Genomic DNA, 20,582 nt, shown 5'->3' on the forward strand with positions numbered 1-20,582 from the left:
ATCCTTACAATGATCCATGAGTGGCTGGGAAACTGAGGCACAGAGAGGAGGAGCCGCGTGCCAGAGGAAGGGCTGGCAGCCACTCCACCGTCACTAACTCAACTTGCTTGCGCTGTACCAGCCGGCTTCCCTCTGCACACTCAAGGCTGTGTCAACAGTGGCGCCTGGCACAAGGGTGGTGCTCAGTAAATGCTGCCTGGATGAATGAATGAGTGACTCACAAACTATACCCTTTTGATCGCTGCGCCAACTCCGTGGAATTCTAGCAGCCTGGTTGGTGTGGGAACTCATCACACCCGAGATTTGGGGAGCAGAAAGGTAGCATGGCCCAGGAGACAAGGGCAGGCAGACAGACTGGCTCAGACCCTGGCCGGGCAGGCCTAGGCAGGCAGCATCAGCTCTCTGAGCCTCAGTTTCTCCTTTTCTAAAGCAACCTGATGACAGTAGCCCCCTCGCACAGTGATTGAGGGTGGATGAGAAAGGGCTTTCTGGAGGTAGCGGGGACAGTCTGTCACTCAGGCTGGAGTGCAGTGGTGCAATCACTGCTCACCGCAGCCTTGACCTCCTGGGCTCAAGCGGTCCTCCTGCCTAAGCCTCCTGAGTAGCTAGGATTACAAGTGTGCACCACCACGCCTGGCTAACTTTTATATTTTTTGTAGAGATGGGGGTCTCACTCTGTCACCCAGGCTGGAGTGCAGTGGTGCTATCTTGGCTCACTGCAACCTCCGCCTCTGGGCTCAAGCCATCCTCCCACCTCAGCCTGCCAGGTAACTGGGACTACAGGCATGCCACTACCATGCCTGGCTAATTTTTGTCTTTTTTGTAGAGATGGGGGTCTCACTCTGTTGCCCAAGCTGGTCTTGAACTCTTGGACTCAAGCGATCCTCCCACCTCAGCCTCCTAAAAGTGCTGGGATTATAGGTGTGAGTCACCGTGCCCGGTCAAGAAATGGCTTTGAGGACTGGGAAGAGCCCCATGATATAATGGGGGTCATTTGAAGAGCTACCCTGGACCTGTGTCTACAGTGTGGTCTCTGATCATGAACTCCCTCCCACAGTCTCTGCCCCAGGTGCCTTCCTTTCCCTACCCCGCAAACACGCAGTAGCACACTGACCTCACGTTTCTCCCAAGAAGCATCATCCACGTCAGGACAAGGTCTCTTGACTCTGAAGGAGAACAGCCAGGAGGGCTCACTGGGTCCACATTTCTGTCACTCTGTCTCCTGCCATTCAATGGCATGGGCCCCAAAGAGACACCTGAAACCTGGGAGCCTAGCAGAGCTAGGACAGGAGACCAAGCCTGGAACCCAGTGTGAGGAGGCTGAAGCAAACGTGCACAGGGGTTCTGGGCATCAGGAGAGGGCTTTTCCAGTTGGGTCTTGTAGGATGAGTAGGAGCCCATTGTTTACTCTCTTCACCAGTTCACACAGCACCACCCTCTGGTTGGGTGGCTCTAGGCCTAGCATCCTCCCCTCTGCGGCCTCAGGCTTCTCATTCATAGAATGGAAAGGAAAGGAAAGTGTCTGTCCTGTTGCTGGAATCATACAGAATAGAATCTTTTCAGGTTGGGTCTCACAGAAAAGAGGTGAAGTGTGCACGAGGCCAGAAATGTTGTGTGTCGTTGGCTGCGGGTAGGCTCATGGCTTAGGGGTGCTGGTTTGGCTTCATGGCACAGAGAGACACTCCTGTGCTCCTGAACACACTCCTGTCTTCTCTCCATTTCTCTCCTCCTTCAAGCTTCCCTGCCTTCTCCACCCCTAAGCTCTTCTCTGAGCTCCCAGAGCACAGGGGTCTTCAGTAAGAAGCCTGCCTGCTTCGGCTGGAATCCTGCCTCTGCCACTTGTGCAGGTCACCATGCTCCCTGAGCCAGGGCTTCCTCGTTTGGAAAAGGGGAGTAAGTGATAATGCTTGTCTCTCAGGACTGCCAGATTTCGGTGTGACCAGGCATTTGGCTTAGTGCTCCGCTTGAAGGAATTGCTCCACGCGAGTTAGTGGCATCCATCATCATTTCCCATTCTCCCATCTCCCACTGTGCGTGTTTGCTTGAGTTATCACCAATACCAACCCTGTAAGTAGATGTCGCTTTTGCAGATGAAGATACCAAGGCTTATTTGGGACAAGTGGTCCCTGGCCATAGGGCTGGGCCTCAACTCTAGGCTGGTCTGATGCGCAAAGACCTTGCACTTGGTGTCGCCAGTGAGTGGTCCTCAACCCTGGCTGCACGGTAGCATGAGCTGGCGAGCTTTCAATGAATGCTGATGGCCAGGCCTCACTCCGAACCTGTGGAGTCCGACTCTCCGGGGTGGGGGCGGGGGCTTGGCATCTTATTTTGCTTATTTATTTATTTATTGAGACGGAGTCTTACTCTTTCGCCCAGGCTGGAGTGCAGTGGCACAATCTTGGCTCACTGCAACCTCTGTCTCCCAGGTTCAAGCGATTCTCCTGCTTCAGCCTCCCAAGTAGCTCGTATTACAGGCGCGCGCCATCACGCCTGGCTATTTTTTGTATTTTTAGTAGAGACGGGGTTTCACCGTGTTGGCCAGGATGGTCTCAATCTCTTGACCTTGTGATCCGCCCGCCTCAGCCTCCCAAAGTGCTGGGATCACAGGCGTGAGCCACCGCGCCTGGCCAATAGCATCTTATTTTTAAAGGCTCCACCCTCTACTGCTCCCCAGTAATGCCCCGTGCAGCTAGGGCCGAGGCCCTGTCCCACCCTGCTGCCTTCATCCCTCCCACCTTACCCAGCCTGTCCTCCTCTCCGCTGCGATCCTCTGTTTTCAGGGCTGCGTCATTCTCTCCCTGAGAGTTGGCCTAAGAGCTGGGGCCCGAGTTTTCTCCAACATGACTTTTCCAGCCCTCTGGGCACACTTTTGAGGGTAACAACTCACTTTAGAAAGGCCCCTGCTGCCCGGCGCAGGTGATGGAGTTGGCACACAGGTTGTATCACGCCAATGGGTAGGATCTGAACCCTGATCAAGGTACCCAGGATCTGGAGACCTGAGAGGGCCCTCCCAAAGGCAGCAGCTCTGGGGGCTGCTAGTCCTTGGACAGACATGACTAGCACCATAAGTACGGTGCCAGCTCTTTTTTTTTTTTTTTTTTTTAAGACGGAGTCTCGCTCTGTCACCCAGGCTGGAGTGCAGTGGTGCGATCTCGGCTCACTGCAGTCTCCGCCTCCTGGGTTCAAGCGATTCTCCTGCCTCAGCCTCCTGAGTAGCTGGGATTACAGATGCCTGCCACCACTTCTGGCTAATTTTTTGTATTTTTAGTAGAGATGGGGTTTCACTATGTTGACCAGGCTGGTCTTGAACTCCTGACCTCATGATCTGCCCGCCTTGGCCTCCCAAAGTGCTGGGATTACAGGCATGAGCCACCGCGCCCAGCCAGTGCCAGCTCTTAACTCTCAAATGGGCTCTACACCATGAGGCCATCTCCAACAAAACACAGCTGCATATGGGTAAGGATGAGAGGAGAGAGGCAAAAATAAGACCCTCTCCTTTAGGTGGGCTGTAAACTAGAGTGGTGTGCTTGTGCCCGCTTGTCCTACTGCACAAGAGCCTATTGTTAAGTTTTTAGAATTTTGGAAGCTGGTTGTCAAACACAGATATTATTAAAAATTAAGGCCCGGACACAGTGGCTTATGCCTGTAATCCCAGCACTTTGGGAGGCTGAGGCGGGTGGATCACTTGAGGTCAGGAGTTCGGGACCAGCCTAGACAACATGGTGAAACCCTGTCTCTGCTAAATATACAAAAAAAAAAAAAAAAATTAGACACGCGTCATGGCGGGAACCTGTAATCCCAGCTACATGGGAGGCTGAGGCAGGAGAATTGCTTGAACCTGGGAGGCAGGGGTTGCGGTGACCCAAGATCGCACCATTGCACCCAGCCTGCATGACAAAGCGACTCTGTCAAAAAAAAAAAATTATATAAACTTACAATCACAGAAATTATATTTAAAACACAGGCAATAGATACTCAGATCTCATCTCTTTCTCATAATTTTACATTTTGCTGTTATTTATGCTTGAGGTTATTTGCACTGTGGTATCTGGATGGTAGGAATACCACACACTGGTGGGCTTTAGGGCACCTCTTCTCGATTTCGTCTTCATTGATGTTATGTTGTGGCTTGAAATTGGCCATGGTAGAAGTATTTATACCCCAGAAATTGACAAACACTGTAAATTAAGGATCTCCTCCCCCACAGAGAGCCAGTTGTGAAATTTATTTTTTAATATTCTTTTCCCTTTTTAAATATACTTTTTTTTTTTTTTTGAGACAGGGTCTAGCTCTGTCATCCAGGCTGAAGTGCAGTGGCATGATCACAGCTCATGGCAGCCTCCATCTCCCGGGCTCAAGCCATCCTCCCACCTCAGCCTCCCTAACAGCTGGGACTACAGGCACACACCACCATGCTCAGCTAATTAAAAAAATTTTTTTTGTAGGGACAGGGTGTCACTGTGTTTGCCCAGACTACAGGTATGAGCCATCGTGCCTGGCCTAGACGGTACTTATTTATTTATTTATTTATTTTATTTTTGAGGCAGGGTCTCACTCTGTCACCCAGGCTGGAGTGCAATGGTGTGATCTCGGCTCACTGCAATCTCCACCTCCTGGGTTCAAGCGATTCTCCCACCTCAGCCTCCCAAGTAGCTGGGACTATACAGGTACACACCACCACGCCTGGCTAGTTTTTGTATTTTTTTTTAGAAGTGATAAGGTTTTGCTGTGTTGACCAGGCTGGTCTCGAACTCCTGACCTAAAGTGATCTACTCTCCTCTGCCTCCCAAAGTGCTGGGATTACAGGCATGAGCCACCACGCCTGGCCTAGACTTTATTTTTTTAGAGCAGTTTTAGATTCACAGCAAAGTTGAGTGGAAAGTGCAGAGATTCCCCATCTATCTCCTGTCCCCACCTCCACCCCCACCATCCCCCACCAGAGTGTTACATTCGTTACAGTCAGTGAGCCTACAGTGACATACCATCATCACTCAAAGTCCATAGTGTACATTGGGGTTCCCTCTTGGTGTTGTTCATTCTGTGGGGTTAGAGAAATGCATAATGACACGGATCCACCACTGCAGTATCACCCAGAGTGGCTTCACTGCCCTAACAGTCCCCCGGGTTCTGCCTCTTCATCCGTCCCTCCTGCAGCCCTGCAACCACTGACCCTTTTACTATCTCCAAAGATTTGCCTTTTTCAGAACGTCATGTGGTTGGAATCATACAGTATGTAGCCTCTTGAGGTTGGCTTCTTTCACTTAGTAAATATCCATGTAAGTTTCTTCCACATTTTTTCATGGTTCGATAGCTCCTTTTTTCAGTGCTGAGTAATATTCCTTTGTCTGGATGTAGCACAGTTTATCCATTCACCTACTGGAGGACGTGTTAGTTGCTTCTAAGTTTTGGCAATTATGAACAGAGCTGCTATAAACATCCCTGGGCAGGCCTTTTTGTGGACAGAAGTTTCCACCTCATTTGGGTAGGAACCAAGGAGTGTGATGGCCAAATCGTACGGTAAAAGTATGTTTAGTTTTGTAAGAAACGGCCAAGCTGTCTTCCAAAGTGGCTGTACCATTTCGCATTCTCGCCAGCAGTGGATGAGAGTTCCTGTTGCCCCACATCTTCGCCAGCATTTGGTTGTCAGTGTTCTGGATTCTGGGCATTCTAATAGCCGTGTGGTGGTATCTCACTGTAGTTTTAATTTGCATTTCCCCAGTGATACAAGATACGGTGTATCTTTCATATGCTTACTTGCCATCTGTCTGTCTTTTTGGTGAGGTGTCTGCTCAGGGCTTCCGTCCATTTTAAAATCAGGTTGTTTATAATTTAATCTGCTAAAGAAGTTTTCTCATGGTAGATAGTCTTTTAAAAAAAATAGATTGTTCTCAGCTGGGTGCGGTGGCTCACACCTGTAATCTTAGCACTTTGGGAGGCCAAGGCGGGCGGATCACCTGAGGTCAGGAGTTCAAGACAAGCCTGGCCAACATGGCGAAACCCCGTCTCTACTAAAAATACAAAAATTAGCTGGGCATGGTGGTGGGTGCCTGTAATCCCAGCTACTTGGGAGGCTGAGGCTGGAGAATCACTTGAACCCAGGAGGCAGAGGTTGCAGTGAGCTGAGATCACGCTATTGCACTCCATCCAGCCTGGGCGACAAGAGCGAAACTCTGTCTCAAAAAAAAAAAAAAAAAAGATCGTTCTTTTGGGGCAAAACTCGCCTTGCCATCATTACTGGTTAATACAGTATTTATGTGCAGGAGGAAGAATATTGTCCCTATTGGAAATATGTCCAGAGAGGTTGGATAATTTTTCCTGCCACCACCAAGGCCTTGGAAGAGGGACGAGGGTTTGCCTCCTGGCAATGCCACATTGCTGCTTGTTTATTTTAAAAGGCAGAATTGAACATCATTCTCTTCAAATGTCTTTCTGTGGTCTATGTGGAACTTCCCAAAATGAGCGTGTCAAGGGACAAGGGATGGTAAGACGATGCCACACGTGACATAGTTTGCTGTGTCCTTGGAGGTAGAAAGGGCCCCCAGCAGGGAGTGAAGGCAGAGTCCTTGCTTGGGGTTTTTCTGAAGCTCTTCCTGAGCCCATGGCAGACGAAGCTCATCCACCAGAGACCCTCCGAATCCTCCACAACACAGGGTTCTAAGCAGCTACTAGCAGGCGATCAGGAGTGGCAGGGAAATGACACCATGAGCCAGCCCCGGCCTGAGTGTGCTCAAAAACACCCCACGTCTCCCCTTTAATTTTCTAAGACAGTCTCCCTCTGTGGCCCAGGCTGGAGTGCGGTGGCCTGATCCTGGCTCACTGCAACCTCTGCCTCCTGGATTCAAGCCATTCTCCTGCCTCCCTGGATTCAAGCCATTCTCTCAGCCTCCCGACTAGCCGGGACTATGGGTGTGTGCCACCATGCCCGGCTAACTTGTGTATTTTTAGTAGAGATGGGTTTTTGCCATGTTGGCTGGGCCAGTCTCCAACTCCTGACCTCAAGTGATCCGCCCGCCTCGGCCTCCCACAGTGCTGGGATTATGGGCATAAGCCACCGTGTCCAGCCCTTCAGAAGTCCCTTCTGACTCTGACATTCTGTGCTGGCTGCCTCCTGGGGAGAAGGTGAAGGGAGATTCATGCGTGCTCGGCAGGGAGGCAGCGCGGTTCAGGGGTTGGAAGCTTGGGTGCTGGAATCTGGTGCATCAGGATGTGGATGAGTCCCAGTTCTTCCACCAACTGGCTGTGTGGCCTTAGAGAAGTCACTTGACCCCACAGATCCTGTTTCTTCCTCTTGTTAATACTTGCTTCCTGGGTTTGCAGGTGTGAGGATTCCTCCAAGCTCTGTGTGTGTGTGTGTTTAAAGTACCTGGCACATAGGGGAGTCCATGGGGGGCAGCGGAGGGAGCCCCATTCAGAATAGTGATAAACACTATGATGTGTGCCATGACCCTAGTGGTCCAACGAAGGCTTCATGGCTGGGCCAGCCTTCTGGCCTGGGGGATTCAGCCACCATCCCCTCTCATCAGCCCCCCAAGACCCACTTGCCTGCAGCTTCCAGATGAAAGGGCTCACCATGGAGGAGGAATGGGGCGAGCTGCAGGCTGGCTCAGAGGGGTCTGGGGGCAGGGTCCCAGTACCCACTGATTAATCTTTTGGGGTCACCTAGCAGTCCAGGGAGAACCCCAACACCCCACAGGCAAGTGGCTGGACCTGGCCAAGGCCAGGGCCTCATGAAGATCCAGGGTCATTCTAGAAGTTCTAGGAGGATTATTCCCTTCTCCACCCCACAGTCCGTGAGTGTGGATAGGTGGCCCGTAATCAACACTCCCTCCAGAGGTTTCTGGCTAAGGGGGACAGAGGAGAGGCCATGGAGGAGAAGGAAAGGCAAGAGGACAGAGTTCTGTGACCTGAAATTGCCACCAGCTGTCTTTAGCCCCAGAGGAAACTGTCTTTTCAAAGAGAGAGGCTGCGGAAATGGCAGATGCTTGAAGAATCAGCTTCCCTCCAAATTCCCGGTCTCTTGCTCTGGGCTTTACTTGACCAATGTGCTTCTTTGGTTTGGTTTTTATACACCCCACAGCCTTGTTGTGTTTACCCCCTTTTCAGGCCTGCTGGGGAAGGGCTCAGTCTTAGCCTGGCACAGAGCTGGGAGCCGGGCCGGGAGCCCCCAGCTGGCAGGCACCTCCCTTTCCTGGCCCACGCTGCTCTTCCTCCAGGCCCCCGCCACCCCAAACCTTTAACAGGAGACTTGGCTGGGAAGTCAAAAGGACTTTCCCGCTGCTTTCAGATGCTTAGGCACATTCACCAGGCCATTATGGGCCTCACTACCTTTAGGCGGGGAACTTTTTAAAAGTGAGTTTTTTTTCTAAAATCCAGAATTTCTGACAGCCCAAGTTAACAAGCCCCCACAAGTGAATTCAGAGAGCATTAACGGGAAAGTTCTAAACAGAACCTCTGCTGTCATGTAAGCAGCTCAGAAAAAAACACTCTTCTCCCATTTTAAGGGTGAACATGGCACTTTGATGTGGCCCCATTTCCTTATAAAGCCCCCTCTGAGAAGGCGGAAAGCTGAAGTTTAATCTGGAGCCAACAAATTACTTGGAATTTGCAAGCACACATGCTTAGCCCATAGGAGCTAAAGTCCACAGTAAAAGAAAGAAAACGAAAAAAAAAAGAAAGGTGGGGTAGGGAGTCACAGAAGGAGAGAAAGGGAGGAAGACAAAACCCACCTCCACTCACCAACTGGCTAAGACTCAGATGTATTATCATGGAATCTAGTGTGGGGGGTCCTAATGCTCACAGCCCCCTTTTCAAAACGAAAACAAGCCACATACCCCTGAATAGTAGAATGGTACTTCTAAAGCAGGGCACCTTGGCTGGGCACGGTGGCTCACGCCTGGAATCCCAGCACTTTGGGAGGCTGAGGCGGATGGATCGCTTGAGCCCAGGGGTTAGGCACCAGCCTGGGCAACATGGTGAAACCCCGTCTCTACAAAAAATACAAAAATTGGCCAGGCGTGGTAGTGGGCGCCTGTAATTTCAGCTACTCTAGAGGCTCAGGTGGGAGGATCGCTTAAGCCTGAGAGTTCAAGGCTGCAGCGGAGCCCAGATCGCGCCGCTGCACTCCAGCCTGCGCCACAGAGTTAGACCCTGTCTCGAAAAAAATAATAGTAATAATAATTTTTAAAAAATACATTTTATAAAGCAAAGCTACCCTCGGTTCCCGGTTTGATAAGGGGTGGATTCCAAATAAGCAGCTGTCTTGCCGCCTTGCCAAGGGAAAGGAGCTGGGCAAATTCCTGCAGAGTCCCCACAAAGCTTCACTTTCCCCAGATGCTTGGGTGGGAGGACCCTCGCTAAGGGATCAAGGTTGCAGGTGCAGAGGGGGTCCCTGACAGAGGGAGGGCAAGGGAGGGGCGCCCCGGGTGAAGGTGACTTTGAGTTCCAGGTGTGTGGGCTAGCAGTTGAAGAGGGGGTGCAGCGCGGACCCCCCTGGGGCCAGAGTCCGATAGACCAGCTGAATGGCCGCTCTGCAGCTTTCTCGCTGTGTGACCTTGGGCGACTGACCTCCCTCCCTAGTCTCGGTTATCCCGACTGTTAAACGGGGACGGTAGCAGCAGTACCTGCCTCATAGGGTTACCGTGTGTGGAGACACGCCCATAGGCGCCCGGCCCGGCCTGGCCCTTAGCCTTGGCCTTGGCCGGAGCTGGACACGTAGGAACTGCCTTTGTCACTAATCGGGGGTTGGATTCCCTTGCACTCGGTGCCAGGATAGGAAAGAGCAGTCAGTCCTGGCTCCCACCCGGGACCTGCCTGGAGAGCGGGAGTGGAGAGGGAGGTGTCTGAGCTGGAAGGAAGGCGAGGAGGGAGCTGGCTGGGCTGCAGGGGAGCGCTGCGTCCCGCTCCCCCTCCCCTAGGCCGTGCCCCCTCCCGCCCGGCCGGGGCGCGCACCCTCGGAGCAGCTGGGCGGCGGCGGCGCGGGCAGCGCGGGGCTGGGCGCGGGATCTATTAACGTCTGTGTGTCTGGGCCGCGGGACTGCGGCGAGGCAGGCGCCAGGGGCTCGTCTGGAACCAGATGTGCCGCGGCGCCGCTCTGGCCGCCACCAGCGCGGCGCGCTCGCACGCACTGGCTGGCGCGCACATGGCCGGGCTGGGCGGCGGCGGCTGGCGCGCCGGCCCTGGCATCCCCTGGATTTCGGACCGACCCCAGACCCGCGCGTGCGGAGGGGAGACCCCCGCCCAGCAAGCCAGCTCCCCGTCCAGATGGGAAAGCCACCCACGAGACGGGTGGGGTCCGCCTCGCCCCTCGGCCCTGTCCCGGGGGAGGGAAAGATGGCTTCTCAGAAACCTGCCCCCCTGCTAGCGCCCCCGCTGTCTCCACCCCACAAAGGGCTGGGGACGCTTCCCCGCCCCCCGAAGTTTGTTTTCCTAAGTTTGTGCGTAAGATTTTTCAAAATTCTGAGTCAGAGCTTCCCCTAAGATGAGGCCTTTGGGGCATGCGAGAAACGCCAAAATGTGGGTGGGGGAGGGGAGCGTGGAGGTTGGAGGGTTTTAAGCGCCGGGATTCGGAAGGGGGCTTTTCACCCACTGGGTGAGTACAAGGGCTTCATTGAGGCCGGTCCCAGCTCCGCACCAAATCTGTCTTAACCACAAGGTGGTCCCTGGTCCTGGCTGCTGTCAGCACCGAGCCTTCCCGTCCCCAGGCAGCTTCGGGGTGCTCTGCCTTTCTGGACCAGCCCCTTCAGCTCTCTGGGCCCCCTCGCAGGGCCTATAAAGTGAGCAGTGGAGCTGGGAGCTCCCAGCAGGGGAGCTTAGGAGAAATGGGTGGTTGGATGGGGCGGGGGGGGGGGGGGGCGGGGGCACTTAGGCTCTGTCTCCATGGTTCTCCACCAAAAGGAAGCGTAAGACCAGGCGGTGGTGCTGCCAGGCCGGGCTGGGCCAGGCCAACCCAGTCTGGCTGCAGAGAAGAGGGCTTGCCCAGGGCTTGGGACTCAGCAGTTCCCCGAGTTCCCCCTGGTGTGCAGCCCTTCCCCATGATCGGGAGGAGGGTGTTTGGTGAAACACACGTGGCAAGAGCGGGTTTTTCCCGCCACGCCTGCCTTCCTTGTTCCGGAAAAGGGGAGCTGGGATGCTGGGTAGGGTGGGGGTGTCAGCCATGCACATCAACTCAGAGACTAATCCCTGCTAGGCGCGTGTGGGCAGAGGTTGAGACAACCCAGACTGGGCAGCCAAGGCTTTGGCCATTTGTCAGTACTGGGTGGACGCCCCCTCACGTCACTACCTCACGTCACTACCATCCCATCTGAGGCCCTATGGGCCCACTTCACAGGGAAACAGGCCCAGAGAGGAGCGGTCACAGGCTCAAAGTCACAGAGCTGGGATGTGGAGAAGGTAGGATTCCCACCCTGCCTGCTGGACTCCAGAGATGAAACCTTGGGCTTGGGATCAAATCTTCCTGGTGTCTGGAGGCTCAGGAAACAAGGTGGTTCGTTCCTAAACTCTAGGAAGTAGAGGGAGGATGCTGGCCCAGCTGGAGGGCCATCAGGATAGCCTGACTGTCCCTTCCCTCCCAGGGCATGCTGGAGGCCCTTCCCCACAGGAAGGCCGCTGTGCCTGTTCCTCTGACTATGAGCACCAGCAAAGCCAGGCTGAAGCATTTCCCTGTGGGAGGTGATTTCCCTAGCCCATGCTCTGGCCTGTCAATTAAAAAAATCCATCAATAGGCTGGGCGCAGTGGCTCACGCCCATAATCCCAGAACTTTGGGAGGCCAAGGTGGGCAGATCACTTGAGGTCAGGAGTTCGAGACCAGCCTGGCCAACATGGTGAAACCTCGTCTAAAATATATACACACAAAATTAGCTGGGCGTGGTGGTGCGCACCTGTAATCCCAGTTGCTTGGGAGGCTGAGGTGGGAGAAACACTTAAACCCAGGAGGTGGAAGTTGCAGTGAGCCGAGATCACGCCATTGCACTGCAGCCTGGGCAACAGGGCAAGACTCTGTCTCAAAAAAAATATATATATGTGTGTGTGTGTGTGTGTGTGTGTGTGTGTGTATACATATATCCATCAATATATTAGTTTCTGCAGATAGGAGGGTCCAGAAGTGAGAAGGCTTGTAATGGTGTATAGTGCATACAAATTTTCAGGTGTTTGGGCAAGCAGAGAATTGAGATTATGTTCCCATCAGGAGCCAAAATCCATTCATTCATTCACTTACATATTCATTCAGTATTTATTGAGGACCTGCTATGCATCCGCCCGGAATAAAGAATATCCAGTGTGTGACTGTGCCATGGCTTTCTACATGGTCCAGCCCAGCTTTCTGGGAAGCATCCACGAAGGATGAATTCTTTCCTTGGGCACCTTCAGGGCAGCCTCTGCTCTGTGTGTGTCAGTGCAAGCTTTGGGGAGGAAGTGTCCCAGGGAGCAGAGAACTTGGTCTCTGAGGCACCGACAGCAGCTGTTCAGGAGAGAGACCTCAGCGTGCCAGGCACATGGTTGCTTCTGCCTCTCAGCATCCCAAGTCTCCACCAGACAGTTACAAACCGAGGTCTAGAGAGGTTCAGTAAATTGCCTCAAAGCTGCACAGCCAATATACAGCAAGTGTGGGAGGGGAACGCACACGCACCTAACTCCAGATAAATATACTAATGGCTAACGTGATTTAGCACTTACTACGTGCCAGGCACTGCTTTAAGAACCTTATATATATATTCTTTCATTTAATTTTCACAACAACTCTGGGAGGAAGATCTTGTTATCCCCATTTTCTGGATGGGATAACTGAAGCACAGAGAGGTTGTAACTTCCTCAGGGTCACACAGCAGTGAAGTTGGGATTTGAACTTAGGCAGCCTGCCGCCAGGGTCCAGCTCTTCCTCAGTGGGGTGCTGTATTTTTTTTTGGTTTGTTGTTGTTGTTGGCTTTTTTTTTTTTTTTAGATGAAGCCTCGCTCTGTCGCCCAGGCTGGAGTGCAGTGGCGCAATCTCGGCTCTCCGCCTCCCAGGTTCAAGCGATTCTCTTGCCTCAGGCTCCTGAGTAGCTGGGAGTACAGGCACATGCCACCAAGCCCGGCTAATTTTTGTATTTTTAGTAGTGACGGGGTTTCACCATGGTGGCCAGGCTGGTCTTGAACTCCTGCCTTCAAGTGATCTGCCCGCCTCCGCCTCCCAAAGTGCTGGGATTGCAGAGCCACACCTGGCCGTTATTGTTGTTTTGAGACAGGGTCTGAACCTGTCACCCAGGCTGGAGTGCAGTGGCACAATTGTGGCTCACTGTGACCTTCATCTCCCGGGCTCAAGTGATCCTCCCACTTCAGCCTCCTGAGTTGCTGGGACTACAGGTGCGTGCCACCATGCCCGGCTAATGTTTTAATTTTTTGTAAAGGTGGGGGTTTTGCCATGTTGTCCAGGCTGGTCCCAAACTCCTGGCCTGAAGCGATCCACCCGCCTCAGCCTCCCAAAGTGCTGGGATTACAGGCGTGAGCCACGGTGCTTAGCCAGTACGCCACCTTTTGTGGGCTGGCCTGTTCTGACCAACTTGGTAGCAAAAAGGTTCCTTCTGGAGAGGAGAGCGCTGTTGGAAGAACTTATGTGAAGGATTTGGGGTCTTGAAATCCAGCAGAAGGACAAAGAAATGAGACATTTTTCACAGTGTTTACAATAGAGGAAAATCGCAAGAGACCTAAATATCCCACAAGAGGGGAAGGGCTGTGAGGCCGTTTTGGCATCCCCACTAGGGGAAGTGATGCAGCCGCTCACACTAACGTGAGGAAGAAGATAGGAAACAGAGCAGAGGGTTTAGGATGGAGCTTGAGGGACCATCGTTCACTGTGTGTCGCTCACAGCGGGAAGCAGTCTACCTGCACCATCACATTGACTTCGCTTCATAAAATGGTGAGGTCATGGCAGTCACCAACGCGATAGCTGATGTTACTTGACCACTAACTGGGTGCCAGGTATTGTCGAGGCACTTTAGGTGTTGCTGTTCCCACTTACAGTGGGGACACTGAGTCTCACAGAGCTCACAGAGCTGGCATGGAAAGCCAGAACCAGAATGCAGCTATTTCCAGGAAAGCGGGATATGGTTGGGCAGGTTGTCCACTGCATAACTGCAGGGGACACCAGTCACACTGGAGTCTGTGGGAATGGCACCCCTGAAGTTGTACAGTGCACAGCCTGTGCAACCATACGCAGCATCCCTGGGTGTGTCTGATCACAATCCTAGGCTCTTAATCCATGCCCCATCCAAAACAGAAAATGATATTCATGCACACTGTAAATGGAGTCATGTGATAGCTAGATACATGTGGACATGCAACAAAAAGTATGCAAAGAATTAAACAGATATGCTGTTGTCGTGGGATTTGTAGGAGATTTTTTTCCTTTCAAATGTCCTTAGGCCAGGCGCAGTGGCTCACGCCTGTAATCCCACACTTTAGGAGGCCAAGGCAGGCGGATCACTTGAGGTCAGGAGTTGGAGACCAGCCTGGCCAACATGGTGAAACCCCATCCATACTAAAAATACAAAAAAATTAGTCAGGCCTGATGCCGGGTGCCTGTAATGCCAGCTACTCAGGAGGCTGAGGCAGGAGAATCGCTTGAACCCGGGAGGCAGAGGCTGCCCTGAGCCAGGATCGCACCACTGCACTCCAGCCTGGGCGACAGAGTGAAACTCCGTCTCAAAACTTTCTACGACTGCCAGGCGCGGTGGCTCACACCTGTAATCCCAGCACTTTGGGAGGCTGAGGCGGGTGGATCACGAGGTCAGGAGATCGAGAACATCCTGGCTAACACGGTGAAACCCTGTCTCTACTAAAAATACAAAAGCATTAGCTGGGCATGGTGGTGGGCGCCTGTAGTCCCAGCTACTCGGGAGGCTGAGGCAGGAGAATGGCGTGAACCCGGGAGGCGGAGCTTGCAATGAGCAGAGATCGCGCTACTGCACTCCAGCCTGGGCGACAGAGCGAGACTCCGTCTCAAAAAAAAAAAAAAAACTTTCTAGAACTCTCTGTGATGATGAAAATGTTTCCTATCTGTGCTGTCCAATGTGGCGGCCACTGGCCATGTGTGGATATTGAGCCCTTGAAATGTGGCCTGTTCGACTGAGGAATGGAATTTGTATTTTTATTTCATTTTAATCAGTGAGAATTTCATTGAGATGGCCACGTGCAGCTCGTTGCTCCCACGTTGGACGGTACAGAGCTAGAGTGTGGACTGGTGTCTTTCAGTCTGAGCCATGTCATTCCCAGATGTCTGCTCTGAAGCTTGTGGTTCCTGAACTTGCGGGTGAGGGAGTGTCTACTGCAGATTCCCAGCTGGACCCTTGAGATGGGAGTGTCTGGCTTTAACAAGCTTCCCGGGGAATTCCCAGGCAAATTGTCAGTGGACTCCCTTTTAAGAAATGCGGAAGATGTGGTGCCAGCCTCTTCACGTGGCAAAGTGTGGCAAGGGGGGCGGGGCAGCTCCCAGAGCTGTGGCTGAAATCACCAGAACAGCTGCCCTCAGAGGCTAGCAAGGGGGTCGTTGAGGAATAGAGTCCTGTGTGCTGCCCTTCAAAGTGTAAACACAGCATGTCGTGGGGACCACAGGGAGGTGGACTAGGACCTACTGTAATGGAGAATTTTCTAGAGCCAGGGTTGGCTGTTGTGTGAGGATGTGATTGGAAACATGCTGGAGATGTCGAAGATGGCCCCGTGCCCAGACTCTGAGCATGCACCCCACTGGTGAGGCTGTCCTGGGTGGGGCACAGCAGCTGGTGGGTACCTGGTGGAGGCTGAGACATAGCAGGGGAGCCAGGTGGGTGGGTGTGGGCCGAGCATTCCGACTTGTTCGGGTAGAGAGGGGTGGCCAATTAAGCCGCAGGAGTCTGAACGGTCTCTGCGCCTGGCCACCAGCACTTGCCCTGGCTTCCCTGCAGGTCCTGGCTGCAGACTATGAGCAGCCCAGGAGCTCTTAAATGGGGAAGAGCTCATTTCCCACATGGGACCCTTAGCAGCAACTTCGCCTGGTCTGGAAATGGTTAACTTTTCCAAGGGCAGCTTTCATCCAGATACCAGCCACTTTGGGGACAGAGTCTGGACATAAATCACCCCTGATCACTGGCAGTGGTACCTGGGTTTGGTACTTTACCTCTCTGAATCTCATTGCCCCTGACTGTGAACAGGGCTTAATAACAGTACCCTCTGCATTGTACGACGCAGGGCTCCATAACCCAGTGCCAGGCGCATAATAAAGTGGGTTAAATGGAAACCAAAAAAGAAAAAAAATTAAGGGTGTGGAAGAAGTCCTTCTCGCCTCACCACAGTCCCATGCTGCGGTGAGGGGCGCGGCAGAAACACTCAGGACGCCATTGGAGCTTTGCCGAGCAAGGCTCAGACTCACATTTTCCAGCACTGCCCGGAACTCACAAATGGGTCATAGAAACCTCCAGCGATGTTTAAAGTTGAGCCTCTCTGGGAATGCAGCACTGCCCAGAGCCAGGGGCACGGCAGGTCCCGTCAGCCTCGCAGGCACTGCCCTTGTCTGGGCTGCTCGCCATGAAGGGCTGGCCAGGGGACCCCAAGAGGGGGCAGAGGGGCAGGTTCTTCCAGGACAGAGAGAACTGACTTTCCATGGAGCTGGTGCTTTAGGGTGGGGTCTGTGGACAGGATTCAAAGTGTGTGAACCACCTCTCCGTACAACATTGCATGCAAACTTTTCTGCACGCCTGTGTTTTTCTAGGGAATGGTTCGTAGAGTTCCTCAGAGTTCTCAAGGGGGGTTCATGATTAAAGTGGGGAAGAACCACCAGGCCAGGCCTAGCCTTCATATGGGATGAATAATAGTGGGGTTAGCAGTCATTTCTGGAGCACCACGTTAAGCATGTCCTTGGGAGAGCCCTGGGCCACGCCATCCTCACTGAGCCACCTGAGAGGGAGGGAGAGATACTGTTTTGTCCCAATACAGATGGTGAAACCAAGAATCCAAGAGGAGAGACCTCTTGTCTGAGGACACACGGGGGCAATTTTTCTCATTCTCAGATGCTCAGGGCAGGCAGGCGTTTGCTATCTGGGTGGGCTGCTGGTAGCCCCCCTAACCCAATTGCTGGGTTGGGAATATTCTCTCCTGCATCCTCCCAGGAAACCCGGGAACAGAGATGGGAGCAGGAAGGAAGCGCATGTGTGTCTGCAGGCAGCACATCTCAGCAGACAGAACTTGGGGTTCCACTGCCTTGCTGTGAGTGCGTGGCCGAGTCACTGCCCCTCCAGGCCTCAGTTTTCCTATCAGCAAAATGAGGGGTCTTGACAGATGACCTCTAAAGTCCCTTCAGACCCTGAGTCCTCGAGACGACAAGAATGACAGGTTTGAGACCGCAGAGCTGTTTGCAGGTTTGTTGCAAAACCAAGCCACACGAAGTCAACATCTTTGTGCCTGGGCCCCAGCCCTCACCCCAAGTTCCCAACTGGCTCTGGGCTTTAGGAGGCCCAGGAGCTCTTAAATGGGAGAGAAAAACCCACCTTGGGCCCTGAGCAGAAAACTTCATCGTGGTCTGGAAACAGTTAACGAGGGCAGCTTTCCTCCCGATACCAGCGCCTTATTAAAATGTAGGCTTTACAATAAACCTGGCATTTGGCCATCAACCTTAGATTAAAACCAGACGGGACAGACATGAACCCCTCTCTTAGACCAAATTTCGAGCAGAGGGCTGCTCCCCTTCCTCCTGGGTGACTCCCTGCCTCCCACCCACCCCGCACCCCATTCCAACAGGTGCCCCCCTCTCTAGAGCTTAGTTTTGGGGTCTCAGGAATAGAGAGACTGAGCTGGACTTGGGACCCCCAGCTCCTAGTGCAGAGGGAGGTAGTCAGGCACCAAAACGCAGGGGCTGAGGGATATGAGGGGAGGCTCCTGCTAGGGCCACGCTGGGGAGCCAGGGCCTCAGAGCCACTCGGCTGCATCTGGCCTTGGCCCCCCTGGCCCTTTGATTGCCTGTGAACAGGAGGCAAATGGAGTTCAGTGGCTTGATCCTGGCCCACGGCAACCTCCGCCTCCCGGGTTCAAGCAATTCTCCTGCCTCAGCCTCCCGGGTAGCTGGGATTACAGGCAGGTGCCACCATGCCCGGCTAATTTTTGTATTTTTAGTAGAGACAGGGTTTCACCATGTTGGCCAGACTGGTCTTGAACTCCTGACCTCTGGTGATCTGCCCGCCTCGGCCTCCCAAAGTGCTGGGATTACAAGCACGAGCCACTGTGCCTGGCCCTGAAGACTCCTTTTCTCAAGGATCCTGGGCTCAGAAGAACTTTTGGCCTCACCTGTCCCCAACCCTGGCTCCCCGCTACCGTTAGCCTGCTGCTGTGACCCGGCCGCATGGGGACATTCTGTGCGAGAGCCACTCCCTGGCTGGGCACGGTGGCTCATGCCTGTAATCCCAGCACTTTGGGAGGCCGAGGCAGGTGGATCGCCTGAGGTCAGGAGTTCAAGAGCCACTCCTGCTGGCTCTCTCACTGAGGGTTCCCCAAAGACCCTAACCCAGAGGCCCCTGACCTCTTGGGGCCTCCCCGGCACCCCAGCCCACCTCACTCCTCACCCCCTGTCACCTCACTACCTGTGGCACCCCCAGAGACTCAGGAGATATCCTTTGCTTGCCATTCTCTCCAATCTCAATGCTTCTCTTGACACCACCTCCTTTTTCTGTGTGTTTTTAGGAATAATTTTATTTCGTATATTTCACATACTGTACAATCACCCATTTAAAGTGCACAGTCCAGGGCCGGATGTGGTGGCTCACACCTATAATCCCAGTGCTTTGGGAGGCCAAGGTAGGAGGATCACTTGAGGCCATGAGTTTGAGACCAGGCTGGACAACATAGTGAGACTCCCATCTCTACACAAAAATTTTTTTTTCCCAGGCGCGGTGGCTCACACCTGTAATCCCAGCACTTTGGGAGACCGAGGGGGGCAGATCATTTGAGGTCAGGAGCAACCCGGTAAAACCCTGTCTCTACCAAAAATACAAAAGTTAACAGACGTGGTGGCATGCGCCTGTAATCCCAGCTACTCGGGAGGCTGAGGCAAGAGAATCGCTTGAACCTGGGAGGCGGAGGTTGCAGTGGGCCAAGTTCACGCCACTGCACTCCAGCCTGGGCGACAGAGTGAAACTCCATCTCAAAAAAAAAAAAATAATTATTTGAGCATGGTGGCGCATGCCTGTAGTTCCAGCTACTGGGGAGGCTGAGGTGGGAGGATCACTTGAGCCTAGGAGTTCGAGGCTGCAGTAAGCCATGATCGCAAAACTGCACTCTAGCCTGAGTGCAGAGGAAGACCATCTCAAAAAATAAAATTAAATTAGAAAGATAAAATGTGCAGTCCAGTGATTTTTTAGTATATTCAGTTGTACAACCATCATCACAATAAATATTAAAACATTTTCATACCCCCAAAAGAAGCCCTGCACTTTTTAGCTGTCACTCTCCAGCATCCTCACTGCAGTCCCCCCAGCCCCAGCAGCTGCCAGTCTACCTCCATCTCTATGGATTTGCCTATTCTGGACATTTCATATAAAAGAAATCATTCACTAGGGCCTGGTGCAGTGGCTCACGCCTATAATCCCAGCACTTTGGGAGGCAAAGGCGGGCAGATCACTTGAGGTCAAGAGTTCGAGATTAGCCTGGCCAACATGGTGAAACCCCATCTCTACTAAAAATACAAAAATTAGCCAGGCATGGTGGCTGGCACCTGTAATCTCAGCTACTTGGGAAGCTGAGGCAGGAGAATCGCTTGAACCCAGGAGGCAGAGGTTGCAGTGAGCTGAGATGGCGCCACTGCACTCCAGCCTGGGCAACATAATGAGTGAGATTCTGTCTCAAAAAATAAATAAATAAATAAATAAAAGAAATCATGCACTATATATTCCCTTCTGGCTGGCTGCTTTGATTTAGCATCATGTTTTCAAGGTTAACCCACAGTTACCATCTCTAAGTGTTTCATTTATTTTTATTGCTGAATACTATTCCATTGCATGAATGGGCCACATTTTATTTATTCATTCACCAGTTGAAGGACATGTGGGTTGCTTTCACTTTTTGGCTATTATAAATAATGCTGCTATGGCCGGGCGCGGTGGCTCACACGTGTAATCCCAGTACTTTGGGAGGCCAAGGCTGGTCTGGTGGGTCACCTGAGGTCAGGAGTTCGAGACCAGCCTGGCCAACATGGTGAAACCCCGTCTCTACTAAAAATACAAAAATTAACCCGGTACGGTGATGTGCGCCTGTAGTCCCAGCTACCAGGGAGGCTGAGGCAGGAGAATTGCTTGAACCCAGGAGGAGGAGGTTGCAGTGAGCCGAGATCGTGCCACTGCACTCCAGCCTGGGTGACAGAGGGAGACTGTGTCTCAAAAAAAAAAAAAAATGCTGCTATGGACATATGTCATTGTGTACAGGTTTTTGTGTGGACACATGTTTCATTTCTCCTGCGTCTGTACCTAAGAGTGGAATTGCTGGGTCAGATGGTAAGTCTATGTTTCACCTTGTGAGCAACTCCCAGACTGTTTTCCACAGCAGCTGTACCTTGCATTCCCACCAGCAGTGTATGAGGGTTCTAGTTTCT

The 20,582-nt window shown here is 52.8% G+C and overlaps 1 protein-coding gene across 2 annotated transcripts in view; it reads left to right on the top strand.

The window, feature by feature from the left end:
- Positions 1 to 20,582, top strand: part of PRRX2 (paired related homeobox 2) — a 57,028-nt gene that overhangs the window by 21,775 nt on the left and 14,671 nt on the right. Inside the window, exon 1 of one of the 2 annotated variants that reach the window (XM_017014803.1) lies at positions 11,295 to 11,388. The exons of the other annotated variant lie outside the window; for it this stretch is intronic. Within the exon in view, the coding sequence (XP_016870292.1) occupies positions 11,310 to 11,388 (79 nt within the window). The 5' untranslated portion in view covers positions 11,295 to 11,309. Of the gene's footprint in view, positions 1 to 11,294; positions 11,389 to 20,582 lie in introns of those variants that run through there. 2 annotated transcript variants of the gene reach the window in all.

The sequence above is a fragment of the Homo sapiens genome, chromosome 9 (genome assembly GCF_000001405.40).
Source record: "Homo sapiens chromosome 9, GRCh38.p14 Primary Assembly".
Taxonomy (NCBI): Eukaryota; Metazoa; Chordata; class Mammalia; order Primates; family Hominidae; genus Homo; species Homo sapiens.